General features: G+C 44.1%; 1 protein-coding gene across 1 annotated transcript in view; it reads right to left on the reverse strand.

Moving 5' to 3' along the window:
- MXRA5 (matrix remodeling associated 5) overlaps positions 248 to 21,238 on the reverse strand; it is a 38,088-nt gene continuing 17,097 nt past the window's right edge. The window contains exons 5-7 of the mRNA NM_015419.4: positions 11,691 to 16,658; positions 8,786 to 9,686; positions 248 to 3,307 (exon numbers count right to left, since the gene is read on the reverse strand). Coding sequence (NP_056234.2) covers positions 1,399 to 3,307; positions 8,786 to 9,686; positions 11,691 to 16,658 — 7,778 coding nt within the window. The 3' untranslated portion in view covers positions 248 to 1,398. The remainder of the gene's footprint in view (positions 3,308 to 8,785; positions 9,687 to 11,690; positions 16,659 to 21,238) is intronic.

Raw genomic sequence — 21,238 nt, forward strand, 5'->3', positions numbered from 1 at the left:
AGTCCCCACACTGTCTTGCTGCATACTGAAATTGTCACTACATGCAAGTGACACTCAAACCCTGCCTGCCAAATCTGTCATCAGAAGCATTGCCTTTGACTCAGTTTCCTTGCCTGTTAAAAATGTGTAGAGAAGCTAATCATTGAGAGAAAGTGAATGAAAGCAGTTTTTTCAACTGCTCTGATGGAAACCCAGATTCATGAGACCCTCTTTTGTCCTTGAAAATAGCATTGTCATCACTGCCCGGTTTTTGGGAGAATATTATTTTATTATCAAATGTACAGTATATTGACCTTAAAAATACAGTAAAGCAGTCATGGAAATAACAGGTCGTGTATTATTCATGGGCACAAACTGACTCATGGCTGGGGAAGAAGCAGCCACCTTAGACCAGATGGACAAGCCAGATACTGCAGAGAAGTTTCTGGGCTTTTCGGGGAAGACTCTAGATTCAATTCTGTAAAGTTATGATGCAGTTTTCTCCTTCCTCTCCTCTCACCTCCTCTGAGCACAGCTTTCAACAAAAACTTTGCATACAAGGAAATCTAATATCGCAGCCTTCCCCACTGGAGGGTTCCTGGAGAAGGTAATATAACAGTGGTGACTGAATTTGAAGGAGGTTGGAGAGAAATTTTTTAAAATTATATTTCCATGTCTGCTGTAATGTATCCAAGTCTTGTAAAGACCAATAATTTATTAATTTTAATAAGACAGAAAGTATTTCTCCTTCTAGTCTCATCGTCTGATTTGAAAGGAAAAAATATATATATAAAACATTATATAAAAAGTGAGTTCCAGGAAGAAATGTTTTTCTTTTTTCATATAAAATGGTAGCTGTATGTATGTAACTCTGAATTAAAATATATATATATATCAGTCACTCTGGTTCTAAATCCTTATTGGGCAAGCTGGAGTTTTGAAGTGACAGAGGAAATAACTGAAAGATGACTTGTCAATCTGGAACAAAGTCTATCATGTAAAAACTGCAGCAGGTTAACTAGGTGATGCGTCTTCAATGGGGTAGTGAGGTGTTGTTCATGTCTATGGCTTATTTTTGATGAATGTTCCTCAGATATCCTATGGACGCTTATGAAGGCAGTCGAGTGGCATTTGCAAAAAAAGAAAAATTGCAGTCAGAGCACAGACACCCTGAATGAAGCCCCTGGCATGATGTAAACACAAAAGAAAGTGTCTCAGCAAGGCTGAGCCCTCCTTCTCGTGTCTGCATTGCTTCCTTTTCCCAACAATTGTAGATCAAGATCAACCTCAACTTGAAACCCACCAGAGGCCACCATGCACTGTGACACATTATTTAAGAGCTCCTATTCCCCAACCTGGCTTCCCTTACAAACCCCGCTTTGTTGTCAGTTCCTAAGCAATCATTCTGGAATCCACATTTCAGAAGACGTGGATGTAAGTTGTTTTGGAGTCACTGCCGAGAATGTTTTTTGCCATGCACTTGTAGAAGCCGGCATCTCTCTGTGTGGCATGCTGGATGGTCAGTGATCCCTGGGGGTGAAGAAATCTGTTTCCATACAGACGAGCCTGAACCCCTGCCTTCAGATGCGACTTATCCGGTAACTCCCACGTGATGTCAGCTTTGGGAATCCCCATAGCCATGCAGTTCAGTTTCACGGTGTTCCCGGGCCGGGTGTAGATGACCGGGGTGGGCTCGCTGGTGATCCGGGGAGGATAGGCGATCACAATCACGGGGATGCTGGTGACCGAAGGGCCGTACTCCGTCTCCATCCTGCATACATAGGTACCCCTGTCAAACACCGAGGCCTCACGAACCGTGAGGGTGCCATTGTCCAGAAGAGAAACGCGTCCCAGGGTTTGGGGGCCCTCCAGATGCATGCCATTGGGGAGCGTCCAGGAGAAACGTCCCTGCCCAGCCCCGGGAGGGGTGCAGGGGAGCTTCAGGGTCTCACCATTGATGATGCTGACCAGGTTATGATACTGCTTGTTTGCTTCTGGCTTCAGTCCCACCTTCAGGGAGACCAGCCTCTCCGTGTGGCCAGCGGCATTGCGGGCCACGCAGCGGTAGGCCCCGGCGTCCACCGAGGAGAGACCGCTAATGTGTAGCATGCCGTCAGCCTTGTGGTAGAAGCGCTGCAGCTGCTGTCCACTCTGCAGATCGGTGCCATTGGGAAGGACCCACACCAGGCTGGGTGTCGGGGTCCCCGCGGCAGAGCAGTTGAGGCTGATGGTGTGGCCCGCCATGGCCGTGATCTTCTCGCTGATCGGGTCGTGGAAGATGGGTTTCTCCATGGGCTCCAGGACAGTGAGCTGCAGGATCAACCTGGCCTCCCCTCCCTCGTTGCGTGCCATGCATACCAGCTGGACGGAGTCGCTCTTCCTCAAACTCCTGATGTCCAGGGAACCGTTGCCATGGACAGTGATCCGGTTTCCATAGTATGGAGCTGGCAGAACCACACCCTCGGGAAAAGCCCATAACACCCTCGGGGTGGGGATGCCTTCAGCTTTGCAGTCAATCAGTTTCCGACTGCCCCCGGCTGCTATCTCCCGCACAGTGGTGATGGGGTTGGGGTTACCGTTGATCTTGGGTGGCTGGACGTTGACGTGAATCCACACCGTCTTCCTATCCTCTCCCGCGCTGTTCCTGACCAAGCAGGTGTAGTTGCCGCTGTCAGAACGCTGGGCTTTCTGAATAAGGAGAGTGCCATCTTGGTATATCTGATACTTCTCAGAGGAGGTGGGGATCACCTTGTTGGTTGGGGACAACCAAGTCACCTTGGGCATGGGTTCTCCTTTGGCCTCACAGGCTACAGTGACCACGTCTCCATAGGGCACCTGAACCGCCAAGTAAGTCTTGTTCCGGATGGTGGCGGGCGCTGTCACCACCTTGACTCTGACTCTCATCTCGTCCTTCCCGACCTGATTTTCAGCAAAGCAGGTGTAGTCTCCTTCCTCCCTCATCCCCACTTCGTTAAAGTAGAGTGTCCCATTGTTGAAGACGACATAGCGCTTGGTGCGTCCACCGCTGTCATCCGACTGCATGAAGGAGTTCACCAGACTCCCGTCTGGGAGGCTCCAGGAGATCTCGGGATTGGGAAGCCCGGTGGCCACACAGTCCACTTTCAGGTCACCCCCGTAGAAGACTTTGTGGTCGTTCTCCTCCTTGTGTTCAATCTTGGCCGGTTTCATCACCACATCCACTTTGAGCACCACGTAGTCATCACCAACCTTATTTCGAGCTACGCACAGGTAATCTCCGGCATCTTTGTCCGTCACTGATTTCACCACCAGGGTCCCATTGGCAAACACCTTGATTCTGCTATCAAAACTACAGAAAAAAAGAAAAAGGAGTAAGATGTCAGTTTCCCAAATGCTCTAGTGTGGCATTAGGTCGCTGGAATAACACAAAAATAGGTGTTTCTGTGATGCATCAGCTCAGGTGGCTGCTATTGCAGAATGCCCAGTGGTTTTTACAGCCTGGAGAAGGTTGTGGAAAGTGATTGACTGCAAATAAGAACTCCCTGTTGAATCTGATGTTAGGCTGGCCTGACCATGGGTTCAAGGACATGAAATGTAGTCAAAGACGTCAATCCCATTCCTGCAAGTGTGTGTGGATCAAGTATTTGCATGGTGGTCATTACAGAGGTCATTGTAACAACAAAATCAGATAAAATGCTACAGTCATGGAGATGGTGAAGAATCTGGGTCAACCTTATAAAGATGTTAAATTCTTCCTGGAGAAAATGCTTTAGACACGGTTTCTACTCTTGGCAATTTCTTTTTTTAAAGCTGTTGTATCCCAGTTTTGGGCAAGAGTCAGAAAAGCAACTCTAATAAGGTCATGTAATTATGGTTATGCCCAGAGTTTCAAGGTGAGTTTTAAGGCTAAAATTGGGATCTTCAGAAGCTGGCCCTATTGGTGTAACAGGTTTTCTAGAATTTGTAATTAAAGCTGAATAACACTCACTAGCTAAAACCTCAAGGCTGGTGTGTCATTCTTCCCCATGAAGTCCAAGCACTGCCGAGTTAATAATTACAAAAAGGTTTAACAGAGGCAAACTAGAAAGGATGATAGGAAAATCTTCATTATGTATGTAAGAGTTTTATAAATACTGAAGTATCCTTTAGTTATTCGGAACTAATATGTTGAATAATCCAGTGAAAAGATTGAGAAAGTTCTCACTTTTAAAGTTGTCCCTATTGAATTCTCAATTACACATACATTATAATGGGAGCCTTAATATTTCCTAAATACCACACTTTCTTTTTTTTTTTTTTTTTTAAGAACTGAGATCTTGTTTGTCACCCAGGCTGGAGTGCAGTGGTGCAATCATAGCTAACTGTAGTCTCGATCTCTTGGACTCAAGGGACACTTCCATCTCAGCCTCCTGAGTAGCTTGGACTACAACAATACACCAATATGCCTGGATGGAGTTTTTTTTATTTTTTATTTTGTAGAGAAGGGATCTTGCTATGTTGTCCAGACTGAGTTTGAACTCCTGGACTTAAGTGATCCTTCTGCCTTGGTCTCCCAAAGTGCTGGGATTACAGGCATGAGCCACCATACCTGGCAAGACTCCATTTTTCTAATGGCATGTCTAAGACACTGTCATAGATCTTTTAAAATAAGCCCAGTTGTGATTACATTCAACCTAATCATTGTAATAAAAGCAATGATTAACAATGACCATATACACTGTTTTGTGGGCCATGAGTGAGAATCAAGTCAATGTAACTTGGTAAGGAATTTAACAGGTGTGGGACAGGCAAGGACATTTAAATGTGCCTTGGAATTTGAATCCAAAAATGAGTATGGTAGCATGTGTCTGTAAACATTCTGAGGCTTCCATTAACAGTGACCCCTAGCCCAGTTGTCATCAGAATCAACTGAGCAAATCTCAAAGCCACAGATGCCTGTGCATCGTGAGAGATTCAGCTTCAAGAAACGAAGCTCTGATATTTGTTTTTGTTTTTGTTTTTTGAGATGGAGTCTCGCTCTGTCACCCAGGCTGGAGTGCAGCGGCCTGATCTCCGCTCACTGCAACCTCCGCCTCCCAGGTTCAAATGATTCTCCTGCCTCAGCCTTCCGAGTAGCTGGGTCTACAGGCATAGGCCACCACGCCCTGCTAATTTTTGTATTTTGAGTAGAGACGGGGTTTCACCATATTGGTCAGGCTGGTCTTGAACTCCTGACCTCAAGCAATCCACCCACCTCGGCCTCCCAAAGTGCTGGGATTACAGGTGTGAGCCACTGCGCCTGGCTCAATATTTGTATTTTTAAATAGCAGGGCAGAGCCTGCTCTTTGACAAAATGCACATGGTTTGTTCAATTACACTTTACTAAGAATATAGTCAGAATTTACTAAGAATGAAGTGACAGAAATAATGGTTTATAATTTATTTAGGATTTATATGGAGACATTAATGGAATGACCCAAAAATCTTACTGGAACTGCATTCTTATACTGTTATCCATTCAAAATTGCCTCCACCATGCCAAATTCAATGGAAAGCAGTTCTCTATGTGGCAGCACATCTGCTAAGCTGGAAGGCATTCCTGGGTAAATTGGGTACATGGCTCTTCTGGATTGATTGTGCAAGCTCTTCAGGGCACCACCCAGCCATCTAAAGTATAAAATACAGGCAGGGAAAAGGCATCTCAGCCCTTTTCCTGAATTGAAAAGAGTCCTGGGAGGCCAGACACAACTGTGCAGAAGAAAACCTTGGACGCTGATTTTGCTCCTACCCTGGGGAGGGACCCACGGTAAGAGGCTTTCCTGCTCGAGCTACTGAGTGCTGAAGACAGCACAATCCAGGGGTTCTCCACCATTGCACTGTGAATTTAGTTGGACTCCATTTTACCTTTCCTCTACTATCTGGGTCCTCTATTTTTTGAAACGCTTATTAAAGAGATATTAGCTCTTTTTTTGTATCTAGCTCAGGGTTTCTCAATCTTGGCACTAGGGACATTTGGGGCTAGAAGATTCTCTGTGATGGGGCCATCCTGTGAACTGTAGGGTGTTGAGCAGTGTCCCCGGACTCCACCCACCAGGTGCCAGTAGCATCCATCCCATCTGTGATAACCACAAAATGTTGCCAGACACAGCCAAATGTCTCCTGGGAGTAAAATCTCCTTGGTTGCAAACAACTGCCATAGCTAGCTAGCTAGATAGATGAGTAGACAGATAGACAGATAGATACGGATGGATAAATGGATGGATAGATGGATGGATGGATGAATAGATGGATACGTAAGAGATAAGAATGAATGGATGGATAGGTTAGGTAGATAGACATGGATGGATGGATAAGCAGGTATATAGATAGACCAACATTTTCATACTAAGATAGGGTTTCTTGGCTTCAGTACTAGGGACATTTAAGGCTGGATGGAGGATTCTCTGTGGTGGGTCTGTCCTGTGCACTGTAGGGTGTTGAGCAGCATCTCCGGGCTCCACCCACCAGATGCCAGTAACATTCATCCCATTTGTGACAACCAAAAAAATGTTGCCAGACATAGCCAAATATCTCCTTGGAATAAAATCTCCTTGGTTGTAAACAACTGCCATAGACAGGTAGGTAGGCAGATAGATAGATAGATAGATAGATAGATAGATAGATAGATAGATATGGGTGGATGCATGAATGAATAGATACATAAGAGATAAAGATGGATGGATAGGTTAAGTATACAGGAATGAATGAATGGATAAATAGATAGGTAAATGGATAGGCAAAATCTTACATGCTAAGACAGGGTTACTTGACCTCAGCCGTAGTAACATTTAAGGCAAGATGAATGCTAATCTGGGGTGGGGTGTCCTGTGCACTGTAGGGTGTTGAGCAGCATCCCGGGGCTGCAGCCACCATATACCAGAAGCACACCCTCCACCCCAGAGTCATCATGACCTAAAATGTCTCCATACATCACCAACTGTCCCTTGGGGACTAAGGAACACCTGATGCCTGGTTGCAAACCACTGCCATAGATGATGGATGGATAGACAGAAAGACAGACAGATGATAGATAGATAGATATAGATAGATAGATGATAGATAGATAGATAGATAGATAGAATAGATAGATAGATAGATGATAGATAGATAGATAGATAGATAGATAGAACCTTTCATGCTAAGACAGAGTTACCTGACCTTGGCACTATGGACATTGAAGGTAGGATGGATGACAATCTGTGATGGGCCATCCTGTGCACTGCAGGGTGTTGAGCACCGTCCCTGGCCTCCACCCACCAGATACCAGAAGCACCCACTGCCCCATTTGTGATAATCAAAGGTGTCTTCAGATATTGCCAAGTGTTGTCTTGGGGCAAAATCACCCTTGGTTGAAAAGCACTGCCATAAACCTGTATATCTGGGAACAGATGGCACTTGATTAGAAGGTGGCTTGGCTTTCTTCATAGCCCAAGTACATTTTTATCATTTCAAGTGCACTATGTTGGTGTGGTAATGATGCTTTTAAAACAATGTATACACTTTGACTCTATCAATAATGTCATATTAAAATAAAGCCTAACACGTCTATGTATTTTGTTGAAATCAATAATGGAAATAGAGGCAAGCTGAATTGTTTGTCCTAACATTATAGTTAAACATATAATCATTAAAACAAGAATTTCTTGGTTCATTTATCCTTTTTTCCTTTTTTTTTTTATGGGGCAAGAGAGGAGGAAGTTAAGTATTTGTTAAGAAGTTGAGTATTTGTTCTGGATCCGAGTTTAGAGGGACAAAATTTCATTGCAGAAAAAGCACACACTGGGGCCGGGCGCGGCGGATCAGGAGGTCAGGAGATCGAGACCATCCTGGCTAACACGGTGAAACCCCGTCTCTACTAAAAATACAAAAAATTAGCCAGGCGTGGTGGCGGGCGCCTGTAGTCCCAGCTACACGGGAGGCTGAGGCAGGAGAATGGCGTGAACCCGGGAGGCGGAGCTTGCAGTGAGCCAAGATAGTGCCACTGCACTCCAGCCTGGGCCACAGAGCGAGATTCCGTCTCAAAAATAAATAAATAAATAAATAAATAAATAAATAAATAAATAAATAAATCACACACCGGGCCAGGCACAGGAGCTCAAGCCTGTCATCCCAGCACTTTGGGAGGTCAGGGCGGGAAGATTGCTTGAGGTGAAGTGTTCGAGATCATCCTTGGGAACACAGCAGAACCCATCTCTACAAAAAGTTAATAATAATAATAATAATAACAAGCCGTGCCTCATGGTGCACACCTGTAGTCCCAGCTACTTCAGGAGGCTGAGGCTGGACGATCGCTTGAACCCAGAAGTTTGAGGCTGCAGTGAGCTATGATCGCACCACTGCACTCCAGCCTGGGCAACAGAGTGACACCCTGTCTCTAATGAATTTATTATTATTATTATTTGAGATGGAATGTCACTCTGTCGTCCAGGGTGGAGTGAAGTGGCATGATCTTGGCTCACTGCAACCTCCACCTCCCGGGTTCAAGCAATTCTCCTGCCTCAGCCTCCAGAGTAGCTGGGACTACAGACGCTCGCCACAATGCCCGCAAATTTTTGTATGTTTATTAGAGACAGTGTTTCACCATGTCGGCCAGGCTGGTCTCGAACTCCTGACCTCAAGTGATCCGCCCGCCTCGTCCTCCCAAAGTGCTGGGATTACAGGCGTGAGCCACCGTGCCCTGCTAATTAATTTCATTTAATTTTATCGGACGCAGGGAGCAACGTGTGTGCATATTCATCCTGAAAAAGGACTCATATTCGTTGGGGCCACCAGCCCAGCGATTTACAGGAAGCCACGCAGAGCTGCCTACCTGAAGAGCGCGTCGATCATCCTCTTGGACGGCAGCCTCCAGAGGATGCGCGGCCAGGGGTCCCCCGAGGCGCTGCAGTCCAGCTTGAGGGTTCCTCCGTACCTGACGTCCGTCCTCCGCGGGGAGGTGCCCGTGATGCGCGCGTTGGCTGCTGCACGCTGCACGTTCAGCTGCACCGTCCTGCGCGCGGAGCCTACCAGGTTGGCGGCCACGCACTCATAGCGCCCGCTGTCCTTGGGCGCGAGGTTGCGGATGTAGAGCGTCCCGTTGGGGAAAACAAACAAGTTCCCGTGGAGGAACTGCGAGGGGCGGATCTGGGTACCGTCCCCGAGCACCCAGCGCACGCTGGGCAGGGGCGCAGCCTTGGCAGTGCAGTGAATGTGAATGCTGAGCCCCGGGGGCAGCGAGATGTTCTCCAGCTTCTCCTGGTGGATAACGGGGGGCAGTGCCGCCACGTGCAGGCGGATGGCCAGGCTGTCCGCCCCGGCTGCATTGCTGGCCACGCACTTATAGACGCCTCTGTCTGAGAAGGACGCCTCCTTGATGGAAAGGGTCCGGTTTTCGTGCAGGGTGATGCGGCCCTCCACGGGGGACACAGTTTGCCACACCCTCCTGTCAGGGAAGATCCAGGAAATTTGGGGGGCTGGGGTCCCTTTGGCCAGACACTCCATTGCAATGGTGTCTCCCAGGTAGACAGTGACGTCCTGGTAGTGGGAGGCTAGGATTTGAGGTTGCTGCACGGTGACCGAAAGCAAGACCACCATCCTGTCCAGGCCGTGCAGGTTGCTGGCGGTGCACATATACTGGCCTCGATCTTGTACTTGAACCTTCCGTATCACTAAGGTACCGTTCTTGAGAACCTCAAACCGTTGTATCCTGGTATTCGGAGTCATAAGAGCTCCTGGAGAAAATTAACACAGTCAGCTTTGGCATAAACTGTGCCCTTTTGATAATGCTCAAACGAGCAGTATTAGTTAATCTAATTCTCCACTTTAACACCCAGGCAGCAAAAGCAAATGTAGTAGGTAGAATGTTTTAGTGTTTTTAAAAGTTTTTTTTATATTTATTTTATTCGTTAGAGATAGGGTCTTGCTGTCTCCCAGGCGAGAGTGCAGTGGTACAATCATAGCTCACTGCAGTCTCAACCTCCTGGACTCAGCCTTCTAAGTAGCTGGGGCTACAGGTGCAGGCCACCACTCCTGGATAATTTAAATTTTTGTTTTTTGTAGAGACATGGTCTTGCTGTGTTGCCCAGGCTGGTCTTGAACTCCTGACCTCAAGTGATTCTCTTGTCTTGGCTACCCACAGTGCTAGGATTACAAGTGTGAGCCACCACACCCAGCCTGTTTTGGTCCTAACCATGAAAGAAATGTAAAACTGAGATATCATCTCATGCCTGCTGGAATGGTTATTATCAAAAAGACCAAAAACACAGACACTGGTGAAGATGTGGAGAAAAGGGCACCCTCGTACACTGTTGGTGGGAATGTAATTTGGTACAACCACTGTGGAAAACAGTATGGAGATTCCTCATAAAACTAACAATAGAGCTGCCTATGGTCTAGCAATCCCACTACTGGGTATTTATCCAAAGGAAATGACGTCAGTATGTTGACAAGACATCTGCACTCCCATGTTTACCACAGTGCTATTCACAATAGCCAAGATATGGAATTCAGCTAAGTGTCCATCAATGAATGAATGGATAAAGGGAATGTGGTATATATGCACAATGAAATGCCATTCTGTCTTTTCTTTTTCTTTAAAAAAAAAACAAACAAAAAACGAAATTCTGTCATTTGCCACAACATAAATGAACCTGGAGGACATTAGATTAAGTGAAATAAACCAGGCACAGACAGACAAACACTGCATGATCTCACTTATATGTGCAGCGTAAGAAAGTTGAACTCATAGAAGCTGAAGCAGATAGTGGAATGGTGGTTACCAGGGGCTGGGGATGGGAGTAAAGGGAAGATATTAATTAAAGAGTATGAAGTTCAGTTAGGAGGAATATGCTTAAGTGATATTATACTCATGGCAACTATAGTTAATAACAATTTAGCTTATACTTGAAAATTGTTGAGAGTAGATTTTGTGTTGTCATCACACACATACGAAATAAGTATGCTGTAAAAAAAGGATAGAGAAAAAGAATGTTTTGTTTCTCTTTTTCATCTTTACACTAATCCCAGAAACAGGGCCATCTTCAGGCAAAGGACAGCAAATGTGGGTTTAATAGAGAATTCTGGAAGCAGGCATGAGTCCCAGCCACTTCCAAGGTGAGCTAAGATGCCACAAGCTCAATTACTAGAGACACAGCCTCTCCCTTATTTATTTATGCTCATGCTGTTCTCCTGAACTCCTCGGGCTAGCTGGCTGCATGGGCATCCCAGGCTTGCAGTGGCCAGCCACCCCTGCCCAGAGAGGCCCTTGAGTCCATAAGAAAGGTAAATTAATCCTAAAGTAAGACTCCAGTAACTTTCTCCTACACAAACTCTGGTTGAAGTGTAGATTGGGTACATATGGACATAAAGATAGGACAAATAGACACTTGGGACTAGTAGAGGAGAGAGGGAGGGGTGGCAAGGGTTGAAAAATGTACCTATTGGATGCTACGCTGGCTACCTGGGTAATGGGATCATTTGTGCCCCAGACCTCAGCATCACACAATATACCCGTGTGACAAGCCTGCACATGTTCCCCCTGTGTCTAAAATAAAAGCTGAAGTTATAAAAATAAAAATAAACACTTATTCGAGTAAAAAATTTCCCCAAATGTGTTATAAAAATTTCTCCTAATGTGTTTATGTTGTTCACCATATACTGTTTTAATGTATTATATTGCTAGCCAATAAAATAAAAATTGACCAAAAAAAAAAAAAGTAGATGCTTAAACATCTTACCTGTGGAAACCTTTGTCCAAGTAACGAAAGGCTTTGGTTTTCCTGTTGCCTCACAGGGGAACACAGTGTCTGTCTCAGCGGTGACGGACACAGTCTGTGGGGACTTGGTGAGGATTTGTGGCTTTTCCCCAAGAGACCAGAATTTGGATGCAGGAGGTCCTCCTGCAAAGAACTTTGAGCTGCTCTGGTGGAAGCTTCCTGAGGACTGGACAGAAGATGTTATAAAGGAGATAGAACTCTGGGTGGAAGAGACCATAGGGATATTCTGTAAGTTAGTTGAGGGTGATCCCGTGGTCTGCGGAGTGTGCAACAACGGAGGTGCCGGAGGGCCAAAGTCCAGATGGAAGGTGCTATGGGAATGTATCCTGTTGTAGGAACCTGGAATAACTTTTCTCTCTCTCATTACTGGGGCAGGAGAAGTGGGTATCTGGGGTCTCCGGGTGACTCCCAACTGTGGAAAAGAAAGAGTCTTGTTGGTAAAGAAAGGGAGTCTTCCATTGGAATAATGAGGAATTCTTGGACTGGGAGGCTTTCCAACTGGGTTTCTTGCCTCAGGGATGTTGTTATTTCCAAACACTTTGGAGTAGCCATTGAATTGGTCAGTTCTTCGGTCAGTAAACTTACTAGGAATGCTGGGTTTGGACATGTGCAATGGGAGAGGAATTGTTGTACTTGATAATCTTGGAGTTGTAAACTGTTTGTTCTCTGGCAAAGCCCCAGAAGGATATGTAGTTATTTCCGGTTTGTTGGTCCAGTGACGAGGTGACTGGGAAGTTACAAAGTATCTGGAAGCGCTTTGTGTGGACATTTCAGGCAGCCTCACTGTTGCTGTTGGTAGGATGGGTTTGGCAGGGACTCTGGTTAGTTGATGAGAAGCATGAACTCTTCCATCCTGGCGTTGGCTATCTGGGCCACGTGGTAGACTCCTACTACCAAATACTTGCTTTTCCAATTCCAGCTTTGTAGACAAGTTAAATGCATCCTGGTCGGAAGAGGGTGTTGATAATTCATTTGGCCCTGACATATGCTGTGTTCCTTCATTGTTCACTGGGGTTGCTTCTGTTTCTGGATTCCCCACATAATTCAAGAAAACATTTTCCTTGGAATCTCTAGATGCTTGAGATATTCTTGGACTGGGAAGTGCTGGCTTAGTGGTGGTGGTTTGTCCCAAAGACATGAGAATTGTGGATGGGGACGAGGATGCTGGCTCCTTCATCCGGGCAGCAGTAGGGGTGTGATTCTGTGGTCTAGTTTCAGAAAGGAGAATAGCCACAGTGGTTTCAAGATGATCTTGATCAAGGGTGGTGGTTTCTGCCTGACTTGAAGCCACCTCCACTTTTATGCTTGAGAGAGTTGTGGAAGAACCAGCTTCTTCCTGGTGAAATGGTGTGGAGACTGTCAAAGAGGACAAAAACTCGGAAGTGAAATCCACATCCTCAAGCTCTTTAAGAAGGGGAGGGTCTGTAAGATTTTCCCCAGAAGTGGTAACAGGTATGCCTGTCTGTAGCCTCCCAGGCTGGGCCGTCCTTGAGGGATTCCAGGTTGGAGTTCCTGGAAAGCCTACAGGAGAGGATTCTTCCTTAAATTCTCCCATAGTGGAGACCAAGGAGCGAGAAGTTGGTATGGCATTAGTAATTGATTCACCAGTGACTAAAATGTCACTTTTATGTTTGTCAACATTTGTGGCAACATCATCCTTAATTTCTTTTCCATCTGATGTGGGTTTATATGTGACTGGAAGTGTCTCTTGGACTTTAGGGTAAGATGAATATATTTTTCTGGTGGTTGTCATGTAATCTAAGGAATCATAAGGGCCCTCAGTTTTCAGAGAAACAGTTCTAGGCAAAAGTATAGTTTCTGAACTGGGAGTAACAATGTTTCTATGTTTATTTTCTGGAGAAGGGCTGGGCTTGGATCCGGACGCTCTTGAGCTCACTGTAGAAGGGGTATATCGATGTTTGTTTGGCCTCTTCCCGTGTTTTCTCCGTGGTGTTCCCTTGGATGTGGGTTCTGCATTCTTCTCCATTTCCAACTGTTTGGGGGTATTAACTGTGTTATCCACCCAAGCTGTAGGAACCAGAGAACTCTCCACTTGACTTGAAATCTTAATGTCAGGTGCTTGAGTTGGTTGAGTAGAAAAAGTCTCTGATGGGGCAAAAGTTGTGGGTGGGGTTTGCTTGTGCCGGTGGCGGAATTTGTTGGGGCGTAATCTCCTTCTCCCGTTGGGTCTCCTTCGAGAAGGGTGAGTGCTCATGGTGGATGACGGAGCAACTTTTTGCCTTGGTGTTGTTGTTGCTGTTGTGGTGTCTTTGTCTAGGAGGGTACCAACTGTGGTTTCCGCAGGCTTCTTAACTGGAGACATACTGCTCATTATACCCAGTGTGGAGTCAGGCAAAGTGATGGATTTGCTCTCTTGGCCCTCACTCTCAGAACTTCTGGAGTGTGTGGGGTCTCCCTCTAGCATATTTCCTCCCTGTAGTGTCTGAGACATCTCTTTCATACCCTTTTTAATCAGTAAGGTGTCTTGAGTGCTTAGACTACTTTTCACAAGGTGGATGTTGTCTGTCAGTCCTTGTAGATGTGATTGGCCTGGGACACCTGGTTCCCCTATAGTAGAATCCTCAAATAACTGTGATGTACTGGAGTCATTAACCCAGATGGTGGGGGTTGGAGTAAGGTGTGCAAAGGTGTCTTCTTTCATCTTATCCTCATCTGGTTGTGACTTAGTCTCCAAATCTGGGTCAAAGTATTGCATGGGCTCAGACTCAGCCAAGGAGACAGCATCCAATGGAGGCTCATACTCACTGGATGTGGGCTCTGGTGACGATCCAACATCTGCTGCAGACCAACCCTCTGTTGCCGTCTCTTCATGGGTGGGCTTTTCATAGACTGTGTCTAATGTGTGCAGAGTAGGAGATGGTTCATAAGGCTCAGATATAAGTGTAGGGGCTGCTGTCCCCTTCAGGTCTCCTTCAGTGGAAGTTATCTCCTCAGTCTTCTCGGAAAGGTCATCAACAACTTCCTCCAGAGGTGTGCTTGTTACTTCAGGTTCAACAAGAATAACTCCATTGTGGTTGTGTTCTAGCCCCATGCTGGCTGAGGAAATGGTACCCAAAACGTGCTCTTCTTCACCAAGTAGAGGTACATCTGCTGAGGATTCTTCAGCACTGGTTACTGTCTGCACAGGAGATGCTGAGGGGGGAGAAATAGCAGGAAAAGGTGGTGTGACTTCTAGACTCAAGGATGGAGGACTTGTGGTTTTAATCAATGGGGGTACTTCTGTGCCCTTAGGGAGATTTTTCCCACGGACTTTGGCTAAAATATCAGCCCAGCGCTCCGGATTAATCTGTTTGTTTGCCATGTTTATCCTTCGTCTAGATTCAAACACTCTGCGACCTTCTGCAACATTGGTCTCTGGTTCTTTTTCCGAATGCTTCCAGAGTTTCAGCTTTCTTCTCCCTTTCTTGGCTTTCTTGTCTCCATTGATGGCATCATCCTTTGTTTTGAGGAACACCTCTTGGTCCTTTGGATGCAGAAGTCTCCTTGAAGTGTTCTCTTCATCTCCCATGCCCGAGCCCCCTTCATCCTCCACGATGTCTTCTCTGACTCTGGAAAGAGCCTTTGCACCTGGGCGTCTGCCTCTTTTGGATGGCAAGCCAGACCCTTTCTTGGTCACTGTGATTCCCACCGTAAAATGGTCTGCCCCTTGCTGGTTGACAGCCACACATCTGTAGTAACCACTGTCACTGACTTGGACCTTTGGGATGGAAAGAGTTCCATTTGGCAACATGTATACATGTGATGTGTTAGCCAAATCATTAATTATCCTTCTGTTTGGAAGAATCCAGCTAAGGTGGGCTTCGGGTATTGCTAAAGCATTGCAAGGCAATGTCACCGACTCCCCTGGGTTCTTGCCAATTGTCACTGTGTCTTTCTCGGCTGGCTGAGTGGAGGGAGACTGCACAAGTACCCTATATACCATGCGGTCCATTTCATCCCTCACTTGAGCAATGCACTGGTACAAGCCTGAGTCAGATGGCTCCATGGACTTGATCCTCAGCCAGCCACTGCTGAGAATGGAGAACTTGCTGTCTGGGTCATCCATGGGCGCTTTCAGGATGGAGCCATCTGGAAGCACCCAGAAGATAGATGGACTCTCAGAAGCTTTCACGTTGCAGCTCAACTGGCATGGACCCCCTTCCAGGACAGTCTGATCTCTTTGCACAGCTCCACTAGGCTCAATCATTACCCAGCTTCTGCCCCGAGCCTGCCTTGTATCTTTGGTGGATATTGTTTGAGAATACTGGGTGTAGTAGGAAAGTAGCACCTTCTTGGCCGTACTCTGACGTCGGTTCAGCTGGATATCTATGGATGGCTGCATGACCCATTCTGGTTCTGCAAGAATCTGGGCTCTCACACCTGTGTAGTAAAGAGCTTCCTCATCAGCATCCTGCCTGTACTGGTAGCTGACTCTGGGGTCTTTGCTGAGCATGAGCTCTCTGTGTAGCTTCACGGGAACTTCACTGTAGTATGCTATCAATTTCCATAGCTTTTCATAGTTTTCTCGGGTCATTGGACACTCAAAGTCCAAGGCAACTGTTGCATTTATGTCAATATCTGGAGGATCCGTTTGGTTCAAGTGAATCTTGTACACATCCATTGGTTTCTTGATGTCACAGACCAAGTTCACCATGTTCCCGTGCTCGTCGGTCATATTCAAAGAGATGCTCCACTGGGGCAGTTGGAATTTCTCCAGGATGAGCTGGCTGCCACCATCCTCTTCCTGTTCTTGCTCCTCCTCAATACTCCTGCTCCTGTTCTGTCTCAGAGGGGACTCTATTGAAGGCTTCAGACAAGTCATGTCCTTCAGCTTGTGTATCTCATGTTTGTACAACTTCTTTGGACTGAAGCACATTGCACACAACTGACCGCCTTCATAAGCTTTGTCCTTTTTACACTTCAGAATTCCTAAAACAAATAAGCAAATAGACAATAGGGTAAGGAGCCAAAGAATGGCATGCCTTGCACATGGCCAGAGGATAAAGCCTATGTTTGCATCTTTATCACCCAGCTGTAATCCCATAAACAAGGAATCCTATACATGAGTTGCCTTTGAGGCTTCATGTTAAACCACAGTTTTAGCACACTGTGTGGTAACTAACGGGTGCTTTATAACTGCTTAACCATTAATAATAATTTTTACTTAAAAATGTCTTAAAATACTTACTAACGGGTATTTAAAAAACATTTCTAAGTTAAAGAAAACAACTTCATTCACATACATTTTACAATGTAACTTCTGTGAAAGTTTAGGAGAATCTATATAAATATACTGCAAACTGGGGAAGCATTTCTTGGTAAAAGGATGAATCTTTGCACGTATCACATCATATCTAATTTTTGTTGTTTTTCATCTTGATATATATACCAATATATATTAAAAAATCTTGATAGATATCTATCTCAATATATACAAATATGTATCTATCTTAATAGATATATAGATAGATAACATATAGATATATAATACATATATATTTATATAATATATATCTATCATGATATATAAACATATATTGATATATTAATAAATATATATTAATATGTAGATATATTGACATATAATCAATGTATATTTATATCTAAGTATATATAAATAATATGTAAATTAAATATGGATATAAATATATAAACCCCTTGAAAGTATTTTCAGGTAAAAGGAAGAATCTTTGGCATGTATCACATCATATTTACTTTTTTAAGTCATGATATAACAATATATAAATTTATAGATGTACATATATTTATAAATAAATATATAATAATATATTTATTCATAAATAATTTATAATTATAATTTATAATATATAATTTATAATTATAATTTATAATGTATAATTTTAAATCATAAATTTATAATATATAATTTATAATTGTAATTTATAATATATAATTTATAATTATAAATTTATAATATATAATTTATATATTATATATTATATATATTTATATGTATTTTATATATAAATTTATATATAAATATATTTATATATATTTATACATAAATACATTTATATATATTTATATATATTTATACATAAATACATTTATATATATTTATATATATAAATTATATGTAATATATAATTTATAATTATAATTTATAATATATAATTTATAATTATAAGTTATAATATATAATTTATATATTTATATATAAATATATATAGTCAATATGTATGTATCTGGGTAACTATATCTATATTTATAACTCTCTATATATTTATACATTTATAATATATAATTTGTATATAATCAATATGTATCTATCTAGGAACTATATATTTATAACTCTGTATATTTATAATTTGTAATATATAATTTATATATAATCAATATGTATCTAGGGACTATATATTTATAACTCTCTGCATATTTATAAATTTGTAATATATAATTTATATATAATCAATATGTATGTATCTAGGTAACTATATCTATATTTATAACTATATTTATACATTTATAATATATAATGTATATATAATCAATACGTATGTATCTAGGTAACTATATCTATATTTATAACTCTCTCTATATTTGTAGTAAACACTTCACAGAGTGTTTGCTTTTGAGTTCACGTTGTCCTCTTGGTCTCCTGGATATGAAATCCTCTGGAATTTTCTCCGTCCTTTCTGGCCACAACTGGGTCTCAGTCACTGCTTCCTCCTCCTCCTCTGCCTGAATCTTTGCTGACTGGGTCCTCCTTGACTTGAGCCTAAGCCCCTTTCCTTTCTGGTCGGCTTCAGCGTCAATGGCCTCTCGCATATGTGTGGTTCCAATTACCATCCACCCGCCAGTGATGACTACCATATGTGCTTCTCTAGTCCAAACACATTCCGTGAGTTCCACACCCCATTGCCTCTTTGACATGTCTATTTAGATAGCAAGAAGAGTCCTCAAACTGACATCTATGAAACAAATTTATATTCTCTCCCTGACCTAAATGTAGAATCTCGTGCCTGTTCTATCTCAGTAAGTGATGCCATACTCTCTCTGCCTGGGGAAACTGGAAGACTAGGAGTTTTTCATGGCAGTCCTCTGCCTACTTCTGCCCGTTCCCATTGGGAAGAAGCCAGTCATACTGCTTCATCTATGACTTGGAGAATTATAAAGCTCCTAACTGGCTTTGCCATCTTTCCTTTTGCCCTCCTGACCATGGTTTTCTGTGTGACTTTCAAAGCAAACACCTCAACATGCGAATAGGATTGTTTTGCACATCTCCCCCCAACACACATACACATACTCACACTCACACTCATACCCACACACATACATGCTGTGAGACAAGGCAGCAAGCACAAGCAGGAGCATTTCACAAAATCCCTTGGCCAGCTGAATTTCATGGCTCAGCGAATGAGCGCAGCCTCTACATGAATGCCCTGAAGATGATGAGCAGGATGGAGCACAGGTCCACATGTCTCTTGCCTGAATCACTGCACTTTTAGAAAAGATGAGTTCAATGCTCCTAGCCCCTGCCTCTTTCTACACATAAGATAATGTCTGGCAGGATTAAGGACTATGCCTCTGTAATCTATAACCAGATGTCCCCTGGCACCCAAACTTTGATGAGAATCAGCTCTAATATAACTTCTGAGCACAACTGATGTGAATTCTGACCACATTTGGTGTGACTTCTGAGCACCTGCAGAAACTCCACCATCTGTGTATAAGCTGTGGGCTGAAACCTTGCTATGCAGCAGTCTAACAGAAACTCTCTGAAAGATCCTGGGATTGCAATCTTCAGAAATGCTCACTATATAAAACTAACCTTAATACTTTACAATCTTGAGTTTCTTTCACATACATGCAAATCTACACATACACAGATGTACACACATGTGCACAAATACATGCATAGACATGCACACACAAAGACATGCATGCGTATCTCCAGACAGTAGCAGAGATGGTTCTTTGCCCAGCAAAGTTTTGTGGGTCCACATCCATAATATAGTGTTGCTGCTACAAAATAGCCATCCAAATGCATTTTCAGGCCCCCTTACATCCACTGGGGTGTGAGGACTGGTTCCCACCAATGAAATATGAGTGGAGGAGGCGTGTGTCTTTTCTGGTTAAGACCATTCACAAGTGGGTGTACCTCTGTCTTTCCCACATCCATTGCTTGATGGCCTCTTGGAATGAAGCTCTAAAAGCTAAGAAAAAGCAAGCCTCTTGAATGTCTAGCAGTAAAGACTCCCAAGTAGGCAACTGAGCAAATCCAATGATGTTGAGTTGGAAATAAGTTTAGAAGCTGCAAGGAACAGACGGGAAGACTGTGTGGCTAGAAATAAACGAATAAGAAGAGCAATGGGACCACCATGCTAGAGGATAGTGGGGACAGGTGGAGCGACCATTGTGTGGAGACTTCTTGGAGGGAATGTGCAAATGTGTATCTTATCCTAAAAGCAATGGAAATCAGTTACGCAGAGGTGTGGCCTGAATGGGTGCACATCCTGTAAAAATGTTCTCACTGCTTTGTAGAGAGTGAATGGAAAACAGGGCTGACAAGGACATGGGGACACTTGTTTAGAATGCTCCCCCTTTCTACCAGAGAGAGGAAAGGAGCTTGATCCAGGCCAGCAGCTGTGAGGATGGAGTTGAGGAAATAGATCCAGGATATGGTAAACACAATGCAATCTAAGGATGGGGATAGGTTGCAAGGTAGGGCTTAGAGAAGGGGGAGAAAGGAAGGAAGGAAGGGAAGATAGGGAGGGAGGGAGAGTGAAGGGGGGAGGAATGGAGGAAGGAAGAGAGGGATGAAAGGAAGGACAGAAGGAAGAAAGGAAGGCAGGAGAGAAGGCAGGAGGAAGGAAGGAAGAAGGAAGGAATGAAGGAAGGGAGGGAGGGAAGGAAGGAAACGAAGGAAGGAGCGAGGGAGGGAAGGAAGGAAGGAACGAAGGAAGGAAAGAAGGAGCGAGGGAGGGAAGGTGGGAAGCAGGGAGGGAAGGAGGGAATGAAGGAAGGAAGGAAAGAAGGAAGGAAGGAGAGAACGAAGGAAGGAAGGAAGGAGAGGAGGAGGGAATGAAGGAAGGAGACAAGGAAGGAGTAAAGGAGGGAAGGTGGGAACCAGAGAAGGAAGGAGAGAAGGAAGGAAGGAAGGAAGGAAGGAAGGAAAAAATGAAAGAAGGAAGGTGAGAAGGAGGGAAGGAAGGAGAGCAGGAAGGAGTAAAGGAGGGAAGGTGGGAAGCAGGGAAGGAAGGAGAGAAGGAAGGAAGCAAGGAAAAAAGAAGGAAGGAAGGAAGGAAAAAAGAAGGAAGGAAGGAGAGAAGGAAGAAAGGAAAGAAGGAGGGAAGGAAAGAAGGAGGGAAGGAAGGAGAGAAGAAGGAAGGAAGGAAGGAGAGAAAAGGAAGGAAGGAGGGAAGGAAGGAAGGAGGGAAGGAAGGAAGATGAAGGAAGGGGAGAGAAGGAAGGAAGGCAGAAAGGAATCACAATCTACTTTGTTGCAACTGCAACACATAAGTCCTGGTTGTTGTCATAGCTCTCTA

This window comes from Homo sapiens, chromosome X, assembly GCF_000001405.40.
Source record: "Homo sapiens chromosome X, GRCh38.p14 Primary Assembly".
NCBI classification, from domain to species: domain Eukaryota; kingdom Metazoa; phylum Chordata; class Mammalia; order Primates; family Hominidae; genus Homo; species Homo sapiens.